The sequence below is a fragment of the Homo sapiens genome, chromosome 4 (assembly GCF_000001405.40).
Source record: "Homo sapiens chromosome 4, GRCh38.p14 Primary Assembly".
Taxonomy (NCBI): Eukaryota; Metazoa; Chordata; class Mammalia; order Primates; family Hominidae; genus Homo; species Homo sapiens.
The window spans coordinates 64,918,920-64,942,939 of NC_000004.12; the positions used below are offsets into that span (position 1 = coordinate 64,918,920).

The window sequence follows — 24,020 nt, forward strand, 5'->3', positions numbered from 1 at the left end:
ATTTTGGTAAAGGATAGTCACTGGTAATTGATTAACTTCATTCATATGCTAACCTCCAGAACTCCCTGCAAGATTGATAAATTTGTTTTTCTTTTAAAGAACAATGCTTCTTACATCATGCAGACCTCGTAGTTGGTGTCTATAACTCTGAAATGAACTGATGAGATCTAGAATCTGAAGAATGCAATCAGCTTTGATCATTAGGAGATCCCATCTCCCATATTTCTATCTTGCTCATAAAAGCCCTCCTTTATGTTGAAAGGAAGTCAAATTTGAGTGACCATCTCTCCTACTCTCTAACTTTTGCCAAATTGAATAAACCTTTCTCTGCTCCTAGGTGCTGATGTGTCAGTGATGGGTTTACTGTGCATTGGGTACACAAACCCACATTTGGAGTTGTTTGATAACAGTAGGACAAATATAAAGGATCAGTGATAGAAACTAGAACTTTAATAATGACAGATTGAAGACCATGGAGTGACAACTTAAAATTCGGATTAAAAAAATCTATATGCAACTCCATATCAATCAAGTCATTGAGTAGAATAGTATTATCAGATACTAAGATAAAAATTAATTTTTCTGAAGAAGCAACATAACTACAGAATATGATCTATAAAAAGGAAGGAATCAACCAAAAATATTTAGAAATATAAAATCAGGTATCCAGAAATTTTGTATCTAATCATGACAGAGATAAAGGAATTCCAAGGACGATGATGAGGGAAGTAATTAATAGTAAAGATGAAAATAAATAGTAACCTATCACGCCAGCTTACAGGGCAGTCTTGGGCACCCTGGGGGCCCACACCATAGTTTCCATGCAGGAGTACCATGCCTGACCAGTAGAGAGTGCCAGAAAGATGGCCTCTGTGGCACGCACCAGCCTGCATGTTTCCTCCTTATACTGCAACTTCCCCCAAGCCCACTGCAACTCCCCACATCACTTTGCTTAGCTAAAGTTGCTCAGAGAACAGGTCATCCTCTCACATCTGGAGCAATCACTACTGCTTGTGGGTCACAGAGAAGGCACATGGTCCTGTGCTGGCCAATACCCTGCTGCAAACTCAAACCACTTCCACTGTAATAGCACACACAGTCTCCAAAACTCTCTTGCTTCCACCACTGTGGTAACTGCCTACAGGGAGACAGGCACCCCTGCATTTCTTAGCATTCAGCTGCAGCTGCTGCATGTTGGTTCTCCAGCACAGTTAACTCCAAATCTCAAGGAGCCAGAGAACAAAGTTGGTGCCCAATACAAGTCCCCCAGAGTTAGAGAACACAGTCTAGGAGTTGGAAGCTGAACAAAGGTCCCCTAAAATCTTCCAGAAGCAAAGCTAGGCGGCTGAACCTACCTTATACCACAATCAAACCCTCCAGGTCAACAAATAGAAAAAAGAAAGGAAAAAAAAAATCTGAAAGTCAATAGCTTCAAAGATTGAAGGTAGATAAGCCAACAAAGATGAGAAAAAAATCAGCACAAGAATGCTGAAAACTCAAACGTTTCTGAAAACCTTCTTTTCTCCAAATGACCATATCATCTCTCCTGCAAGAGTTCAGAACTGGACTGAGGCTGAAACAGCTGAAATAACAGAAGTAGAATTAACAATATGGGTAGAAATGAAGCTCATTGAGCTACAGTAGTATGTTGTAACCTAGTGCAAGGAAGCTAAAAATCATGATGAAACATTACAAGAGCTGACAGACAAAAGAGCTAGTATGGAGAAGAACATAACCAACTTGATAGAGCTGAAAAATACACTACAAGGATTTCATAAAGCAATCACAAGTATTAATAACAGAATAGACCAAGTGGAGAAAAAAAACTTAAGGCTTGAAGACCATCTTTTTAAAATAAGACAGGCATATGAGAATAGAGAAAAAAAAGAATGAAAAAGAATGAATGAAACCTCCAAGAAATATGGGATTATGTAAAGACACCAAATCTATGACTGATTGGTGTACCTAAAAGAGATGGGGAGAATGGAACCAACTTGTGAAACATATTTCAGAATGTCATCCATGAGAATTTTCTCAACCCAACATTCAAAGTCAGGAAATGCAGAGAACCCCAATAAGATACTCTGAAAGAAGATCATCCCCAAAACACATAATCATCAGATTCTCCAAGGTCAAAATTGTAGAAAAAAATGTTGAAAATAATTAGAAAGAAAGGGCAGGCCACCTACAAAGGGAAGCCCATCAGACTAACAGTGAACCCCTCAGCTGAAACCCTACAAGCCAGAAGAGATTGGGAGCCAATATTTAACATTGTTAAAGAAAAGAAATTCCAACCCTGAATTTTATATCTGGCCAAACTAGGTTTCATAAATAAAGGAGAAATGAGATCCTTTTCAAACAAGCAAATGTTGAGGGAATTTGTTTCTACCAGACCTGCCTTAAAGAGCTCTTGAAGGAAGCACTAATTAGGGAAATGAAAGACCATTGCCAGCTACTACAAAAGCACACTGAAATACACTATAAAGCAATCACATAAACAAGTCTGCAAAATAACCAGCTAACATGATGACAGGATAAAATCCACACATATCAATACTAATCCTGAATGTAAATGGGTTAACTGCTTCAATTAAAAGACACAGAGTGGCAGGCTGGATAAAGAACCAAGACCCATTGGTATGGTGTCTTCAAGAGGCCCATCTCACAGGCAATAAAACACATAGGTTCAAAATAAAGGAATGGAGACAAACCTACAAAGCAAATGAAAAACAGATAAAAGCAGGGGTTACAATCCTTGTTTCTGACAAAATAGACCTTAAACCAACAAAGATTTTAAAAAGACAAAGAAGGGTAATGCATTTATATAATGGTAAAAGTTTCAATTTTGTTGTTGGTTTTTTTTAGCTTTACATAATGGTAAAGGCTTCAATTCACCAAAAAAAATCTAACTAACCTAAATATATATACACCCAACACAGGAGCACCCAGATTCATAAAGCAAGTTCCTAGAGACCTTTAAAGGCACTTAGACTCCAACATAATAATAGTGGGAGATTTTAACACCCCACTGACAATATTAGACAGATCATTGAGAAAGAAAATAAACAAAGATATTTAGGACCTGAACTTAGCACTGGATCAACTGGATCTGTTAGTCATCCACAGAACTCATCACCCAAATACAAGAGAATATATATTTTTCCCATCACCACATGGCACATACTCTAAAATTCATCAAATTATTGGAAAGTAAACATTCCTCACCAAATGCAAAAAAAAAAAAAAAACTGAAATCATAACAAAGTATCTCAGATTACACCACAATCAAATTCAGAATTAAGATTAAGAAATTCACTCAAAATTATACAATTACATGGAAATTGAATAAACTGGTCCCAAATGACTTTTGAGTAAATAACAAAATTAAGGCAGAAATGAAAAAGTACTTTGAATCTAATGAGAACAACAATACAACATACCAGAAACTCTGGAACACAGTGAAAGCAGTGTTGAGGAAAATTTATAGCACTAAAAACCCCCATCAAAAATTAGAAAGATCTCAAGTTAATAACCCAAGATCACAACTAAAAGACCTAGAGAACCAAGAGCAAACAAAGCCCAAAGTTAGTTAGCAGAGGGCAAGTAACAAGCAAAATCAGAACTAAACTGAAGGAGATAGAGACACACAAAAAAATTCAAAAAATCAATGAAATCAGGACCTGTATTTAAAAAAAAAAATTAACAAAACAGAGGAACAGCTAGACTAATAAAGAAGAGCGAAGATTCAAATAAACACTATCAGAAGTGACAAAGGGGATATATTACCACTGACCCTGCAGAAATACAAGCAACCATCAGAGGATATTAAGAATATCTCTATGCACATAAAATACAAAACATAAGGAGTGTATCAATTCTTAGACACATACACCCTCCCAAGACTGAACCAGGAAGAAATTGAATCCCTGAACAGAGAAATAACAAGCTTTGAAATTGAGGCTGTAAAAAATAGCCTACCCACCAAAAAAAAAAAAGAAAAGAAAAGAAAAAAGAAAAGAAAAAGCCCAGACTCACAGATGAATTCTACTAAAGAAGAGTTGGTACCATTCCTACTGAAACTATTCCAAAAAGTTGAGGAGAATGGACTCCCCCCTAACTGATTCTGTGGCCAACATCATTCCGATACCAAAAACCTGGCAGAGATACAACAACAAAGAAAACTTCAGGCCAATATCCTTGATGAACATTGATGTAAAAATACTCAACAAAATACTAGCAAACCAAATCCAGCAGCAGATCTAAAAGCTTATCCACCATTATCAATTAGGCTTTATCCCTGGGATACAAGGCTAGTTCAACATACCAAGTCAACAAATGTGATTCATCACATAAACAGAACTAAAGACAAAAAACACATAATTATCTCAATAGATGTAGAATAGCCTTTTGATAAAATTAACCATGGCTTCATGTTAAAAACTCTTAATAAAGAAAATGTTGAAGGAACATACCTCAAAATAGTAAGAGCTGTATATGACAAACCCATAGCCAACGTCATACTGAATGGGGAAAAGCTAAAGCATTCTTTTGAAAACCAGCACAAAACAAGGATATTCACTCTCAATATTCCTCTTCAACAGAGTATTGGAAGTTTTGGTCAAGGCACTTAGGCAAGAGAAATAAATAAATGGTATTAGTATAGGAAGAGAGAAATTCAAACTATCTTTTGCAGATGACATGATTCTGTATATAGAAAACACTATAATCTCAGCCCCAAAGCTTCTTAAGCTGATCAACAACTTAAGCAAAGTCTCAGGATACAAAATCAATGTGCAAAAATCACTAGCATTTCTATACACCAACAACAGTCAAGCTGAGAGCCAAATCAGAAATAAACTCCCATTCACAATTGCCATAAAAAGAATAAATACCTAGGAATACAGGTAACTAGAAATGTAAAAGATTTCTACAAGAAGAACTACAAACCACTGCTCAATAAAATCAGAGATCACATCTTTGATTTGGAAAACATCTCATGCTCATGGATAGGAATAATCAATATCATTAAAATAGCCATACTGCCCAAAGTAATTCATAAATTCAACGCTATGCTTCTTAAACTATCATTGACATTCTTCACAGACTAGAAAAAACTATTTAAAAATTCATATGGAACCCAAATATAGCCTGAATAGCCAAGGCAATCCTAAACAAAAAGAACAAAGCCAGATGCGTCACGTTTCCCAACTTCAAACTATACCACAAGGCTGCAGTAACCAAAACAGCATGGTACTGTTACAAGCAGATACATAGAACAATGGAACAGAATAGAGAACCCAGAAATAAGACCACACACCTACAATTATCTGATCTTCAACCTGACAAAAACAATCAATGGGGAACGGACTTCCTATTCAATAAACGGTGCTGGGATAACTGGCTAGCCATATGCAGATGAAAACCAAACCCCTTTCTTACACCATACACAAAAATTAATTCAAGGTAGTTTAAGACTCAATGTAAAACCCAAAACTATTAGAACCCTGGAGGACAATCTAGTCAATACCATTCAGGACATAGTCATGGGCAAAGATTTCACAATGAAGATGCCAGAAGCAATTGCAACAAAAGCAAAAATTAGCAAATGGTGTGATCAAATTAAACTAAAGAGCTTCTGCACAGCAAAAGCAACTATCATCAGTGTGAACAGACAGCCTACAGAATGGGAGAAAATTTTTGCAAACTATGCATCTGACAAAGATCTAATATACAACATCTATAAGGAACATAAACAAATATACATGAAAAAGATGAATAACCCTATAAAAAGGTGGGTAAAGGACATGAACAGACACTTTTCAGAAGAAGACATACCTGCGACCAACAATCATATGAAAAAAAGCTCAACATCACTGATCATTAGAGAAATATAAATCAAAACCACAACGTGATACCATCTAACACCAGGCGGAATGGCTGTTATTCAAAAGTCATAAAATAACAGATGCTGGTGAGGTTGTGGAGAAAAAGGAATTATACCCTGTTGATGGAAGGTGTAAATTAGCTCAACCATTGTGGAAGACAGTGTGGCAATTCCTCAAAGACCTAAAGACAGAAATACCATTTAACACAGCAATCTCATTACTGAATATATACCCAAAGGAATATAAATTATTCTACTATAAAGACACAGGTAGGCAAATGTTCATTGCAACACACTTCACAAAAGCAAAGACATGGAACCGACCTAAATGCCCATCAATAACAGACTGGATAAAGAAAATGTGGTACACATACACCACTGAATACTATACAGCCAAAAAATAAGAACAAGATCATGTCCTTTGCCTTTTCAGGGACTTGGATGGAGCTGGAGGCTGTTATCCTTAGCAAATGAAGATAAGAACAGAAAATCAAATACCGCATGTTATCACTTATAAGTAAAAGCAAAATGATGACAACACATGGACACTTAGAGGAGAACAACATGCACTAGGGCCTATCGGAAGGTGGAGGATGCAAGGAGGGAGATGATCAGAAAAAATAACTAATGATACTAGGTTTAATACCTAGGTGATAATCTGTACAACAAACCCACATGACATAAGTTTACCTATGTAACAAAACTGCACATGTGTCCCTGAACTTAAAATAAAGGTTAAACACATTTTTTTAAAATAGTGAGCATACCAGTGCAGACTGGAATAAGATAACAAAACTCTTAAAGGGAGAAGAGGGACAATTCAGGAAATGACTCAAGAAAAGCAATTTAGTAAGAATAGTAATTAAGTAGGTGAAAATAATAAGAAAGCAAAAAGCAAAATATCAAATAACTTCAGGAGATGCAAAATGTGGCAGAAGAATAAAGTGAAAGCATATTACACTATGTAGCTGTGTCTTGTCTAAATTAGTATTTCCATATTCATACATTTTATTAAAATTACCTCATTGGTCACAATATTGACTAAACCAAAATAGGGACAAAGACAATCGTGGTATTAGAATTTGGGAGGGGTGGTGTATCTGTGTGTGTGTGCATCTGTGTGTGTATTGTGTGTGTTCCCTAATCCACTCATATCAAAGTTCACTTTTGTGGATTTGAGTACATATGGCTTTCTTCACAGCTTCTTTATCACAGCTATTACAACATATTCTAGCTATGTATTGATATGTGTATCACCCTCAGTAGATGTAAATCCTCTGAACAACAGAATTTGTCAATTATCCTTGCATATTCCATGTAGAGCAGATAATCTTTCTTATAACGATTCTAAAGGAATACTAAAGATGTGTGACTGAATGAACACATTAATGTTTTTGATTATTTTTGCCCTAACTTGTTTGTTCAAAACAAAATTGGAATCATATTATGAAACCTTATATCTGCAATAGGTGTGCATAATTAATATTCACTCCTAAATAGATTAGTGAATTTGTACATTCTTCAAAATAACAATGACATGAGCAATTACAAAATCCTGGATAAAGCTGACTTTGAAATTTAAAAAAGTTGAAATATTTCTGCAATATTTTTATTTGAAAGAAGATTCTAATATAGTATTTCCCCTTCCTCCTTCACACAGAAATATAGATTAGACAGACAAGTGATAGATAGGTGGACAGATAGATAGATAGATGGATAGGTAGATGATATGTAGATGATACAGAAAAATAGTACAGCCAATCTGAAAAAAGCTTGAAAGCATATTACCTCTTACTTTTGTTCCAGGGCTCCACCTCTTGCAATGTATCCATATTCTGATCTCATTCTCTAATTTTTACTGAGAAAATGAATTGTTACAGTGGAGACAATCAATGAACTGTTCAGGAAGACATATTATTAATTTTTAAAATAAAGCTGCTAAAGCTAATAAGATCAATCATTTCAATCATTGTCTATAAAGTGACTTTATATTTCCCTAAGTCATTAAAATTTTATCAAGGAAGAAAAATGGAGTAGGCTTAATTAATAAAACTAATACTGTTTAGAAGAAAATGCTATAAAATGAATTCTATCTGATTTACTTATGGGATATTGTCACTAATTAGGTTTTCCAGAAATGGGTGCTGAGGAGAGTGATACGCGACATTTTTGATTGGACTGATATCCTTTGGGAGGAAGTAGAGCAAGTCACTGAAAAATAAATAATAACTCTAAAATAAAAAACTTAAATTTGTATTATAAAGAAAAAATTAATTTTAATTTATTTTATTTATTCCACGCTATGTTCTCTTTGTAAACTTCTGGTTTTGAAATTTAATTTCAAAATATTTTCAAAAGTCTAATTTATGTTAGTGTTAAGGGTACATACGTTAATCAATTAAAAATGAAGAAATTAAAAGAAAATATTCTCTGCCGAATAATGTATCATTACTCTGCTCACACCAAGTATCAACATAATTGTACTTATTATAATTAGCACAATACTTAATTTATGGAGTATTAATAACTTATAAATCTATTTCAAATAGACATTCCTGAATATGTGTATCAAAAATTGAAACAAATCGTTTTACTTCATGTATGAAGATAACAATCACTTAAGGTTCGACAGATATATACAATTATAACAACAAAAATATGAAGAACATCGTTTTTTAAATAACATAATTAAACTTCATGTAAAACAAGATCTTCAACCTGTCTTTTACTCTCATAGATAATTTACTCCTACACTGTGTCAGTGTGTTTACTTTAGGACCTGAGGGCTGAGACTGTTTCTTGTTAATAGCTAAGAAGTAGCACACTAGAGACACCTTTAAACTCATCTTTGCGTAAGTTACATTTTAGTTGGCTTTATTCCTTCTATTTTGTTTTCTCTTCCTGAAATAATGTCTTCCTTTGCTCCTGGGTTATTTCCAACTGTGTTCTGCAGCTGTTGGTTCAATTCATGATAAACAATTGATTACACAGATCATAGAACAAGTTAATCAGTCTGGGACTTTGGTAATGAAAAATAAAGCTCCAGCAAGTTAATAAATCAGTTTTAAGTAGAGAAGGTATCTAAAACTAATTAAACACTGGTCTCAGTGACAGTGATTTAAGCTGTAGTCCTAAAACCTTTATATTCCTTAGAACCACAGTTTTCATCATGTTAGTGTCAAATTACAGTTTCGTCTTTTGAATCGTTATAATTGAGTACTATGAAATAAACACTATGTTAGAGAAGTGACCTTGCAATTAAAGTTTGTAAGAAGTTAAAAACTGTCATGGAAGGATCCACCTTACCAGACACCATATTTCCCTTTGTCCTGGAGTAACTGATTATTAATAAGTGATTTCCCATGGGAAGATAATTTCTAAGAAACAGTCAACATAGTTGTAGAGGGAACAAGTGTTATACTAGTGACACCTTTATCATTGCTTTATTGAGTAGAGGTTTTTTAAAATACTTGGTGACACAGATGAACGTTAAACTCATAGTTTTCCATATGTATCTAATGTAATGGTCTAATCAGGATTTGGGGTTAATTCTGATATTAATTCAGCGTCTCTAAGATGTCTGGTATAAAGGTTCTTCATATTAGAAGGCAACATATAGTATAATAAATGTTTGTATTACACCTGTATGATGTGTAGTCAAATGATTGTTGTGGCAATAACGAGAGTCTATAATCTGTACTGAAAAATGGAACCAACTTACAAAATAATGGTTATTCATGCATACTGAAATAGAAAATGCCATGTGGTGCATGGAAGATCAGTATAGATACCATGCAAATGTTGCAAATTCTATGTTCCTTTATGTTGAATACCCAAGAATGGTAGAGAAGTATGAGTGCTTGTGCTTCACTAACCTTTCATTCGAGACTGTGCTAACATTTTATTTGCTAGAACCGTTCTCATTTAGCATTTAGAAATTAGCATGCTAAGACATATAATATAGTAGTGTCGTGCCTCATCTTAAGGACTCACTTGGTATATCTTTAAAAAAATTATTGGACATTGTCATCTTCAGGCACATATGCCTAAAATCAGTTAGATAATTAGAAATCTGAAATCAACACTTAAACTTTTTTCAAATATTATGTGTGTTCTCATCGGGTTAAGAATTTCAGAGTTTTACCTGCTATGTTTGCAAAGCCTCTACATGATGTCATGCTGACTTCCACCTTTGGATATATTCTTGAAAGAAAAATATTTCAAATTCCCCCAAAGTACATTTTATTTGTCATTTCCCTCATTTTCAAAAGTGAATAATTGATTCCATACTCCTTAGGCAGATAACATCACAAACCTTATGAACCACATCCTAGTTAATTAACCATACTTTTTTTTTTTTTTTCAGCAGGCAGCTGAGGGCACAGGTGCATTTTGGGGTATAGATTACTTACTCAGAAAAACAAGGTATGTCTTTATGTTAACTGGGTGAAAAGTAGCTTTGCAACGTATATTCACTTCAATAATTCATTGCAAGTTGTTTGTTTTATACATAGTCCACAATGGAACAGCTATTGTTTGCTTGTCCAGTAATGCACAAGAGAACTACCATTTAACTTCCAGAAAAATGTATACTAAAACATATTCAAAAAAAGCCACCTTAACTTTTAATTATGTCAAATTTTGCATATATTTATGGCTTTCTATTTTGTGTACTCTCTCACCAGTCATGTTTGCAAATAAATGTATAAAATTTATTAGAAAATAATAATGAATTAGCTAATAATGAATTAGCTATTCTATCGCTTGAAATTCTTTGTTCAAACGTGTATTATAATGTTTGACTATGCATTGATATTGGAAGGGGACATTATTAGACAATTGGTGATATTTGAATATTGACATACGTTAATGATTTATGAGTTTTAAATTTTCTGAATTTAGTAATTTGTGATTAAGTTAAAATAAGATCCTTTTTTCTTTGAAACACATTTTTCCTGTTTTCTTCAAAAACACATTTATAAGTATTTTGGAGTGACTTGTGATATATGTTATTGCCTTCCAATTTTCCAGCCAATATATTATATAAATATAACATAGTATATATAATACACTATGTACATACCCTATATCTGTATACAATATACTATGTACTATGTTCTCTCTCTGTCTCTCTCGATATTGTGATATAATGCTGCCATTCACTATAGTGTATGTATATATATATATGAAGGGGGGATTTGCAAATATAAGACAAATGTTGCAAATTATGACCAATGGTGAGTGAACATCTTTTGCCAGACACAGATCATTTTGTTGGGTAAAGTCACTTTAACTACACGTCCATAATATTTTTAGGAATATTATGGATTCTTCTTATATGGTGCTGATTTTCATATTTCTGTATGCACCAGTTTTATTTAAACAATGTATTTACTTGGCTCATTATTTGAATGTTTTGTTGACATTAGACAGGATGTTATTGAAATCCCTGATCTTGAAGGGATTTGATGTTCTTTAGTAGTGATGGCATTTTTAACCTCTGCTAAGTAGAAGCCTACTAATTATAAGTGGAGTCACGAACAATTTTATCAGATATTAATTGGCTTCAAAGACCAAAACCGCCACTGAGACTCTCCTTTGTACTGATGCCAGAGACTCCAATCAGAACTTGTTTCTGTAGCTTACACATGCAACACCATAAAAGTAATAATATAATAAGGACTGACAATGACACGAGATACATTTTTTTGAGTTTCAGCCAGGGGCAAACTGCCTGTTGCTTTCCATTCAAAAGAGCTTTGCTCCTTTATCTCCTCCGTCATGACCATCCTCAAAGATATAGAAAGAGCAATTACTGCAGAGGTTTTTCTTTCAGCTCACTGAAAGTACTTTAACCTTGGCTACCATGTCAAAGATGGCAGCATTAGTAATAGAAAAAGTCTTAAGTCTGCAGCTCATATCCACCTTTTACATCAGTCAATCCAGATCATTATTCAAGAGTCAGTAGGCACCAAGAACCCTTTAATTAACATAAAAAGTCAATGTCATCATATTGCTTAGAGAGCCTGAACTGATTCAGATTTACCACAGTTCTTGGCTTTGGAAAATACAGAGCTTCCTAATACTGTAAAATATGCATTCCCAATCCTACTCTCTGGGAGATATGTCAGGGTATCCCCATTCACTCATAATATGCATAATTTATTTAGATATTTGAGTAATAACCACATTCTTCACAAGTGAATTTACGTTAGAAATTTAGTATCGACCATCAACTTCTTCCCGTCATCACTGAAACCTCATATGCTACCATTCATTCTAAACACACACAAACACACACATAAAGTTACTCATTATAGGTCCTTTATCACAGTGTCTGGGAAATACTGTGCAGTAAGCTCCAGAATCTGTAACTTTTACCTGGCTATATCAAGGTCCTTCCTTGGTTCAATGTTTTTTCCCTGAGCAGATAACAATAGTCTGAATATTGCAAATTTTTATGTGTTTCTTTGTTTCTATAATACAGCTTCTATTTTAATATATTTGAGAATTATAGCCTCCTGCTCACATTATATATTCTAAGACTTTTGTCATGCTAGATTATGAATGTTTAGCACACAATATGGATTTCAAAATATCTTTTCTGGCTTTTGTTCTATAGTACCTTGCAACCTTTTCCAAATCTCTTTGTTCATAATGGGTTTGATTGTATTGTCTAGATCTTACTACTGCTACCAATTTGTATTTCCACCATGTTGAAAAATGTTAATACCCCTTTCAGATTGATGTGATGGCCAGACACAGATAAAAATCTGTGTAAAGCAAATAAGGCTTACTTATCTAAAATATGCAAAAGGAAACCAGCATAGAGGGTAACAAAAGCCAAAAACAGGATTAAAGTTTTCCAACTGCTTTGGTGCAGACATGTAGATGATAAATCTGCGTGGAACTTTTGAAATCTTACTTGCCTCACTTTACTCGCAGAGTTTTATTCATTAGGCTAATGGCACAATTTCTCAACTTCAATTCTATTCTCATTTGGATCAGATAATTGTTGTTGTGTGGGGTTTTTTTTTGTATATTATAAGATGTATAGTAGTATACCTGGTCTCCAACCACTACATGCTAATAATCCACTTTACTCTCAGTTGTGACAATTAAAAATGTCTCCAGAATTCACCAAATGTACTTTTGGGTAAAACTCAGCACCTTTGTAAGAACCACCATGCTAAAGTAATTTGGATGGCAGTCTTTCCTTGGTATATGCTAAAGACCAAGCACATGCATGTCATGCTTCTCATTAATTTTAGAGCTAAGGATTGCACAATATGGGAAGAGGGCATAGTGCTTTTTGGCTTAAGCACACTTTTCATGTTTCTGCCCTTAACATTTCTAGCAATTCAGATAGAAAACACTTCTGAATTCAACACCATTAGTAATAGAATAGAGAACAGAAGTCAGTTATTAGGAGATTATGCTTATAACCTATAAGGTCTATGCTTTTTTAAATAAATAATGGAAAGTCTAAAGAGGGCAGCTGCTTGGAGTGATTAAACAACTCAATAAGATTAAGGCTGGCATAGCTGAATTTCTCTGCAACTATTCATAATTCAATTTCCCTAAAACTGTACTGTTGCTGTAGCCTTATATACACCGTATTTGTTCAAGGCAATAAGAATGTAGAAATGTTTCACATAAGCTCTCTCAGTTATTACTATGATAAAAAATTCTTTGATAGAGAAATGACATCAGCAAGAAGGCAGAATATCTACCCTTCTTTTTCCCCATGAATACACCTATTTCAACATTACTATATGGACCAATTCCATTTGTGAGAGATCCAGAAAGAAATATAGAGGCACCTGCACCTCTGACAAGTGTGAATCCAGCCACAATTAAGATGGTAGAAAAAAAGTGGACAATCTTCTCATTATAATACTTCATCAGCACAGCAACACAAGAGTGGTTAACTCAATAAATTTCTGCAAAAACCAATGTCCTGGAGAGTTTTTCTGATTTTTTTTGTTTTTTAGTAGTTTCATAGTTTGAGGTCTTAGATTTAAGTCTTCAATCCATTTGTATTTGATTAATGTAAATGGTATATGGTAATATATAGGGATCTAATTTCATTCTTCTGCATAAAGATGTCCAGTTTTCCAAGCAACATTTATTGAAGAGACTATCCTTACCCCAGTGTATGTTCTTGGCACCTTTGTCAAAAATTAGTTCACTGTAGATGTATAAATTTATTTCTGGATCTCTATTTTGTTTTGTTTTGTCTATGTGTCTATTTTGATGCCAGTACCAGGCTGTTTTGGTTACTATACTGTAATACTAATTCTGTAGTATAATTTGAAGTCAGGTAATGTGATTTCTCCAGTTTTGTTCTTTTGCTCAGCATAGATTTGGGTATTCTGGGTCTTTTTTGGTCTCATACACATTTTTAGCATTTGTTCTATTTCTGTGAAGAATGCCATTGGTATTTTGATATGGATTGCATTGAATCTGTAGATTGCTTTATGTAGTATGGACATTTAAAAAATATTGACTTTAAAAGGTTAATAATAAACTTTTAGTTAGACTAAGAAAAAAGAGAGAAGACTCAAATAAATAAAATCAGAAATGAAAGAGAAGACGTTAGAACTGATGCCACAGAAATAAAAAGGATCATAAGAGACTGTTATAATCAAATATACAGCAACTAACTGGATAAGCTGGAAGAAATGGATAAACTCCTGGAAACATACAATTTACCATGACAGAATCATGGAGAAATATAACATATGAACACAATTATAACTAGAAAGGTTATTTAATCTGTAATTAGAAACTTTCCAACAAGAAAATCCCCAAACCATATAGTTTCACTGGTGAATTCTATAAAATATATAAAGAATTAAAGTTAGTCCTTCTCAAGCTCTTCCAAAAAATTGAAGAGAAGTGAAAGATTCCAACTTTATTTTAATGAGGCCAATATTATGCTAATATCAAAGACAAAGACACTTCAAGAAAATAAAACTACAGGTCAATATTCCTAATGACCGTAGACATACAAATGCTTAACAAAATGCCAAAAAACAGAATTCAATAGAAATTTTTTAGGAAACATACACCATTACCCAATAGGATTCACCCCTATGATGCGGAATCACTCAATGTGATATACTACATTAAAAAAAAAGGAGAAGAATTGCATGATCATCTCTATTAATGCAGAAAAGCATTTGACAAAATTCAATGTTCTTTCATGATAAAAATTCTCGACAAATTAGGTATAAAAGGAACTTACCTCAACACAGTAAAGGCCATATATGAAAGGTTCACAGGTTAACATGATATTCATTGGTGAAAAACAGAAGGCATTTTCCCTAAGATCAGGAACAAGACCAGGATGTCCATTCTTGTCACTTCTATTCAACATAATACTGGAAGCTATTGCCAGAGCTATTATTCAAAAAAAAAGGAACTAAAAGATATTTCAACTGAAAAATAAGTAAAGTTATTCTTTGCAGATGACACACTCTTGTATGTAGAAAAACTTAAATATGTTACAAAAAACTTTTAGAACAAATAAATAAATTCTGTAAAGCTGCAGAATAAAAATATCAGTTATGATTGTATATACTAATGAATTATCCAAACATGAAATTTAAAAAATAAAACAATTGTATTCACAGTAGTTTGGAAAAGAATAAAATACTTCAGAGTAAACTCAAGCAAGGAGATGACTTTTCACTGAAAAGTGCAAAACACTGATGACAGAAACACAAAAAGCCAGAAATAAATAGAGACATCTGTTCATGGATTAAAATAATTAATACTGTCAAATGTTCATACTAGCCAAAATAATCTACAGATTCAATGCAATGCCTATCAAAATTTCAATGACTTTTTTACAATTTTTTTTTAATTATAAGATGTGTGTAGAACCACCAAGGACATCGAAAGGCCAACTCAATCTTGAAAAATAAAAATGTCTTAGTGTAATTTGGCTGCTATCATGAAAATGCCACACACCTGGTAGCTTATAAACATAATTTATTTCTTACATTCTGGAGATTAGAAAGTATTTATTAAAGTGCTGTCAGCTTTGATGTCTAAGTGTCTGGTGAAGAGCCAGTTCCTGTTTCAGGGATGACTGTCTTCTCAATGTATCCTGACTTGGCAGCAGGGGTCAGGAAGCTTTCTGGGGTCCCTTTTAAAAGGGCACTAATCTTATTCATGAGAGCTCTTGTATTGGGGATTAGGTTTGAATGTATGCATTTTGAGGAAACGTATTTAGTCTATAGTATTCTATCTCTGGTGCCTCAATATTAATGTTCTTCTCACATGCAAAATACATTAATTCCATTCCAGAAACCCCAAAAGTCTTAACTCATTGCAGCACCAACTTTAAAAAGTCCAAAGTCTCTTCCAAACATCATTCAAACCAGATATGGGTGAGATTCAGGGTAGAATTTATCTTAAGGCAAATGTCTCTCTACATGTGAATCAGTAAACCCAAACAAGTTACATACTTCCAAAATGCACTTGTGGGACAGCCATAGTATAGACATTCTCATTGCAAAAGGGAGAAATAGGGGGGAAAAAAGTTAGTAATAGGTCCCAAGTAAGTTCAAAAACAAATGAGGCAAATGATATTAAATCTTAACGCTACTCTCATGACTTGCCTGGGCACCACTATAATGGGAACTCTTTGTGATGGCCCCAATCCTTTATATCTGGATGGACACAGCAATGACCCCAACCACGACTCTCCTGGGTGCATCCCATACCACAGTTTTCTGTGAGCTGGCAGTGACAGCACTGCACAGATACTGCCAAAGTTTCCTGTTTATGCTCTCCAGAGGAGCAGCTACCAGGGCCCATCCCACACTGAGACCCATCAGAGCCCCACCTGGGGCAGAAAAGAAACCTGCAGCTGGAGTACAGGGAGTAGAGCATGTGATATCAGGAAGTGTGGAATAACAGAGACTGAGGGCAGGCAGCTGCTGTTGGCCCCTACTTTGAAACTGCTCTGCCTCCAGGTTTTTGCACTCTGTGATAAGAGGGGCAGCCCTGATGATCTCTGTTGCCTTCCTAGTCATTCTTTGATTGTCTTGTAGATTAGCTCCTGGCTTCTGTTGAGAAGGGTGATCCACACTAATATCCTTATCAAGCAATTGCTAACTTACTCCTTAGTGTTCCCTCATAAACTGGCTTCTCATTCTTTTCAATATAAACAGGCTGAGAATTCTGCTTCCTTTTTGATTAGCAATTCTATCTTCAAGTCATTTTCTCTTATCTTTTACTATCAGCAGTCAGGAGAAACGAAGATACACCTTCAACATTTTGCTTAGAAATAGAGTCATCTAAATATCCAGTTTTATTGTTCATAAGTTGGACCTTCAACAAAACACTAGCAAACAAAATTCAGCCAAATTCCTTGCCACTTTATGATAATGATGGCCTTTCCTCTACCATTCAATAACATACTTCTTATATTCATCTGAGACCTCATCAGATTGCCTTTACTGTCCATATTTCTATCAACAACCTAATAATCTCCCAAAGGACCCACCTCCAGCTACCATTTCACTGGGGACCAGGCTTCAACATATAAATTTTTAGGGGAAACAAACATTGTCTGTAGCAAAGAAAAAAGTTGGAGGCATTACATGTCCGGATTTCAAGATTTATTACATAGTGACATTAATTAAAATTACAAGTTTTTGGCTGGGTATGGTGGCTCACGCCTGTAATCCCAGCACTTTGGGAGACTAAGGCAGGTGGATCACAAGGTCAGGAGTTCCAGACCACCCTGCCCAACATAGTGAAACCCCATCTCTACTAAAAATACAAAAATTAGCTGGGTGTGGTGGCAGGCACTTGTAGCCCCAGCTACTCGGGAGGCTGAGGCAGGAGAATTGCTTGAACCTGGGAGGCAGAGTTTGCAGTAAGCCAAGATGGTTCCACTGCACTCCAGCCTAGGTGGCAGAGTGAGATTCCGTCATAAATAAAAAATAAAAAATAAAAAAAATTACAAATTTTGAGAAAAAGACAGACTTACAGACCAATAGAATAGAATAGATAGCTGAGAAATATCCCATATATTATATATATAAATATATACACACACATACATATATATATACACACACAAACATATATATAAAATAAACTGACCTTCAACAACACTTCAGCAATGCTTCTAAGGATACACAGTGGAAAAAGAATAGTCTCTTCAACAAATAGTGTTAGAAAAACTGAATATTACACACATCCTACACCATGCATAAAATCAACTCAAATTAATTAAATACTTAAGTGTAAGACCTGAAACTGTAAAACTCTTAGAAGAAAAACATAAGAAAAACACTTTAAGACATTGGCTTTAGCAATTATTTCTTGAATAGAACACCAAACATATGGCCAGTAGAAGGTATCTGAGTTACCGATGGTGAATCTGTATGGGAATGCAGCTACCTCAATTTTTTCCTCCTCAGAAGAAATAATTTGACTGAGTTGCATATGGCAGAAAAAGAGACCAAGGCAAGTTTCAGAGGAGGGATGTGTATGTTTATTTAAAAAAGCTTTAGAGCAGAAAAGAAAGGAAAGAAAAATACACATAGAAGAGACCCAAGTGGGCAACTTGAAGGTCTAATGTGGTGTTTAATCTTGATCCCAGAACCATATAGACTGACCCCTTTCCCAGGATGCTTCCCTTAGGATGGGCTGCCTGCATGTGCAGTGCCCTCCTTACCCTTGGGAGGAGAGTGTGAGCAGTGTGTTTAGGAAGTTATATGCATGCCCATCTGAGGTTTTCTTCCCTTTTCTGGTGGAGTGTCCCCAGAAGGTCATACCTGCCATTTTGTCTCTTACGCACATGCCCAGGAAGTTGTTTCTCCCTGGAATCTGCATTCGATTAACATCTTAGTGCAACAGGTGTGGGCCATCAGGAAATAGCCTCTCCCTGGTGCCAGCTGCCAATTTATCACTTTCAGAGAGGCAATGTGATGATCGCTGAACCATCATCTGATATTCCTTGTGGGTGGGGGACAGCCGTCTCCTGCTCCACTCATGCTCGTCTCACTACCTGTAAAAAAATCCCAAGTAAAAGAAGAAGAAGAAAAAAAAGACAAGTGGGACTACGTCAAACTAAAAAGCTGCTGCTCTGCAAAGAAAACAATCAATAGAGTGAAAAGAGTGTCTATTGAATGGAAGAAAGTATTTATAAACCATATATTTCATAAGGGTGAAATCTAAAATATATAAAATAGTTTACAGAACTTAGCAAAAAACAAATAATGAGCAAAGTACATGAATGCACATTTATCCAAAGGAGACATACGATTGGCCAAAATTTGTATAAAAAGATGCTCAACTTCATTGAGATAGTTTGGATATTTGCCTCCTCTAAATGCCTTGTTGAAATTCGATCTCCAATATTGAAGGTGGAGCCTAGTGGGAGGTGGGGACATACCCCTCATGGATGGCTTAGTGCCCTCTCAGCAGTAAATAGTTGCCACTCTAGTAGTTCACATGAGATCTGATTGTTAAAAAGAGTTTAGGACCTCCCTCCTTACTCTGTCTCTGGGTTTCCTCTCTTGCCACATGATACATTGGCCCCCTTTTCTTTCCATCATGAGTAAAAGCTTCCTGATGTCCTAATCAGGAGCAAATATTGGTGCTGTAATTTGTGTACAGCCTACGGGACTGTGAACCAAATAAGACTTTTTTCTTTATAAATTTTCCAGTCTCGGGTATTCCATTATGGCAACACAAAAGGGAATAATCCAGTCACTAATCAAAAAAAAATGCAAATCAAAACTATAATAAGACATTATCTCATACTTGTTACAATGGTAATGATTTAAGAAAATGACAACACCATAATATCCATACGTGTATGTGAAGAAGTTGGAACCATTGTACCTTGTCAGTGGGAATGTAAAATGGTGCAGCCACTATGAAAAACAATATAGAGATTTCTCAAAACAATTAACATCAGACTTACCTTATAATCCATCAATCTCTATTATTTATAATTTTCCAACAGGTTTAAAATTATCATTTTGAAGAGATATCTGCATTCCCATATTCATTGTAGCATTTTTTATAATAGCCAAGATATAGAAACAATCTAAATGTCCAGGGCAGGTGACTGGATAATGAATATATGACATATTTATAAAGAAATATTATGCAACTATAAAAAGAAGTAAATCCTCCTGTATTAGTCATGGTTCTCTAGAGGGACAGAACTAATGGAATATGTGTGTGTGTATATATATATGTATGTGTGTGTATATATATATAATATATAATAGATTATTATATATTTATTTTATTTATATAAATATGTATTTATATAAATATACATTTATTATATATTAGATATCTATTTATATTTTATTATATATATTTATATTTATATATAGGGGAGTTTATATATATATTATACACACACACACACACACACACACACACACATATATATAAAGGGGAGTTTATTAAGTATTAACTCACATAATCACAAGGTCCCACAATAGGCCATCTGCAGGCTGAGGAGCAAGGAAAGCAGTCCGAGTTCCAAATCTGAAGTACTTGGAGTTCGATGGTCTAGGGCGGGAAGCATGTAGGGAGAAAGATGTAGGCCAGAAGACTAGGCCAGTCTCTCTTTTCACATTTTTCTGCCTGCTTACATTCTAGCTGTGCTGGCAGCTGATTAGATTGTGCCCATCCAGATTAAGGGTGGGTCTGCCTTTCCCAGCCCACTGACTCAAATGTTAATCTCCTTTGGCATCCCCCTCACAGACACACACATTATCAATACTTTGTATCCTTCAGTCCACTCAAGTTGACATTATTAAGCATCACACCTCCCATATGCACCAACATGGATGAAACTTGAGAAAATTTTTGCTGAATAAAATGAGCTAGTCACAGAAGGACAAATACTGCATTATTCTCCTTATAGGAGGTAACAAGAATGGTCAAACACAGACGCAGAAAGTAGAGTTGTGGTTGTTAGGAGATAGGGAGGAAGGGAAATCGAATGTTTCCATTAAATGGACATAAAATTTCAGTTATGTAAGATGAATAATTTCTAGATAACTTCTGTACAACATTGTGCTTATTTATAGTTATCATACTGTATAATACATTGAAAATTTTGGTAAGAACATAGATCTCATGTTGTTTGTTCTTACCATAATTAAAAAATATTTATAGAAATCCCAAGTATATTTTGACTTCTGGCTTCCAGGAAAGCTGGAATTGAATTATTAATCCTATAGTGAAGGAAAACAAGAAGGTAAGAGATAAGGTCTTATTGAAAATTTATGTTAACAAGAACATAAGTATCTGCTATGAGAAGAATTATTAATTCTCTCTCTCTCTCTCTCTCAACAGTGTCATCACTCTGTTGCCCAGGCTGCAGTGCAGTGGTACCATCACATCTCACTTAGACTCAACCTTCTGGGCTCAAGTGATCTTCCCACCTCAGTCTCCTGAGTAGTTGGGCCACCATGCCTGGTTAATTTTTGTATTTTTTTGTAGAAACGGGTGTATTCTTCTATCAGGGTTTACTACTAATTATTTCCTACACTTCATATATCACCTGTAAGTTCAGAATTAGTTGAGAATTAAACCAGTAGAGTAAAAGACAAGGATATCAAAATATTAGTATTAATACCAACTAAGACTGGTTGGAAATTGTGGATTAGATATAGGTCACAGTTAAATATTATTGTAATATTCATTAATAATTAAATGACTGAACATAGGAAATCCAACCAAAAGAGATTTTGCATCTACAGAGAAGATGTACTCAACCTAGAATTATTTTTGCCCTTTTTTTTATTCCTATTACCAAGGGCAGGGAGAAAAAAAATGAGCTTCTTGTCTCACCCCCAGAAAGATATAGAATTTGAGCTACCAATCTAATGAAAGCAGTACGATAATATAAATGATCATGGAGTGTAAACTTACCAATACAAATGTTGGGCCAGACGCGACCAACTTTACAAGAAAAAAAAAAAAAGTGGTTTCCTCTACACCAGAGAAGACAGAATCAGCTAAGGCCAAATTTAGCCTGGCCAAGGCCAGTGAACCTAATTGCCAAAGATCTGTGTGAGTCATAAGATGAGAAGTTATACAAAAAGTAATAAGTCAGCTTTAGTAGTGTTAGTGGAGGATAAACTGTTTTCTTTGTAAACTCACAGTGACTAGTATCCCAGTAAAGGTGTTCAGCACATTTTTTTACTCTTAGTGGCAAGGTCAGAGATCATTGTCCTGTTGAAAGAAAAGTTTTATACCACTATGGAAACAAGAACATTCTTGGAAGATGATTAAAATGATACATGTCTGAAATTAGGAATCCATTGACAAGAATGTTAACAGTAAATCCAAAAATATAAGTGTAGCTTTAAGAGAGTTTAAAAAAGAAAAATAAATAAACCAAACATAAACCATATTAATCTTTCAAATTTGAAATAAAAACATTTTCATATCCACCTAGAACATCCTTCAGACAGTATCTTCAAAATAACATTCCCTAAGATTAATCACTTTTAATTGCTTATTTCCTAGGAAGTTTTTCCAGATAATTAAGTTGCCAAATTTCTCAGGATTTTTAGGTTTCCAGAAATTGTACTTAGTACAATAAAAAAGGAAATTTCAGGAACTTGAACTTTAGGACTGTGGAGATAATTTAAAAATCTAAGGAAGGGGAGAATGAGTGTTGCTCTGAAAATTTTTTGGACATAAATGAATAATTATTAGACAAAGAACAAGGATCAATTATGTCACATTCATCTAGTGACTGTCAATCTGCATTAAGAAGGTCTCCAGTGTAGTTTGTTGTCTTGAATGTTGATTCAGCATTTATATGTAATCTTGATCCTGAATCAATTCTGATAAAGCAGAATTGATTTTGGATTTGCCCTTATATAAAAGAAACATGAGATTAGTGTTGGTGAAAAATCCTGCTTTTCAGCATGTCATCCTGAGCTTGAAGCAGGTCTCTTTTCAAAACTATGCCAAATCTTAGCACAGTGGATTTTTAACTTATAAGGTCTTATTTTAATTAAAGTTGAAAAAGAGCTTTCTCTTTTTAGATTTCCTTGTCTGATTGATTGTTCATTGTGTAACTACCACATAGAATTAGTTATGAAATTTTTCAGGCAATGATTGAATTCATTTCACCCTTTCTTACCTTCTAACTCTAATGTATAAATTCTTTATTGAAGATTAAGACTATGGAAATGTACATTTATCTAGTAGCTAAATAAAGTGTGCATGCAGTTCTACCACCTCCTAAGTACTCACCTTGGTGAACTCAACTTGTCTCATGTTAAGAGCCATCTGTTAACCCCCTATCACTAAAGGAAACCTCAAAATATTTCATAGTCATATCTTTGGAAATAGCTTGAATGTATATCCTTTTAAAACTCCTGTTATTATTTCAGACTTACCACAATCAAGTTTAAGAATGCAAAATAACGAAAACTATATGCTCCTATCAGAGTCATATGTTAACAAACCAAGAGAATAAATAGAACAAAAATAGAGATTTATACTTGTAAAATTAATACATAATAATATATCTAAAAGTGTGTGTTAAAGATGGACTTTTATCTATGGTAAAACATTTAACTGAAACTTGTGAAAAAAAGTAAAATTCATGCCTCATGCATTATACCAAAATTCTAGATAAACTACTTCTTACCTTAGAAAAGAAGGATAAGCTATTATATAAAAATATCAGCAAAATATTTTTTATTTAGGAGGAAGAATAACTTCTTCATTTTGAAAATAGAAGTTGAAAACAAAAACTAGTATAACATGTGAACGTACACCAAACAAAATTTAAAAATCAAAAAAAATAAATCTATAAAGTCTATTTAAAAATTAAAAATCAATGCCTGGTAACAAAATTTATGAAGTTAAAAGGAAATGATAAATTTAAAAAATTGACGTTTAATAACAACAATGAATGACCTCAATTTAAATGCAGAATTCATAAACTTACAAAAAAGAATAAATGCACTAATTATAAATTGGAAAAACAAGCTAAACAGAAGATTAATTTGAGAAATAAAAGCTGCAGAAAAATGTGTTGAGCTTTAATTATAGGACAAGGACTATGCTAATGGCTTAACGTGAATTGTTTTACACTGTCCTCAGAAAAACT

The 24,020-nt window shown here is 34.3% G+C and overlaps 1 long non-coding RNA gene across 1 annotated transcript in view; it reads right to left on the minus strand.

Moving 5' to 3' along the window:
- The window catches only part of LINC02232 (long intergenic non-protein coding RNA 2232), a 90,220-nt gene that overhangs the window by 4,639 nt on the left and 61,561 nt on the right, over positions 1-24,020 (minus strand). Inside the window, exons 3-6 of the long non-coding RNA NR_033976.1 lie at positions 21,037-21,117; positions 20,354-20,446; positions 18,688-18,920; positions 7,673-7,742 (exon numbers count right to left, since the gene is read on the minus strand). This is a non-coding gene — a long non-coding RNA (long intergenic non-protein coding RNA 2232). The remainder of the gene's footprint in view (positions 1-7,672; positions 7,743-18,687; positions 18,921-20,353; positions 20,447-21,036; positions 21,118-24,020) is intronic.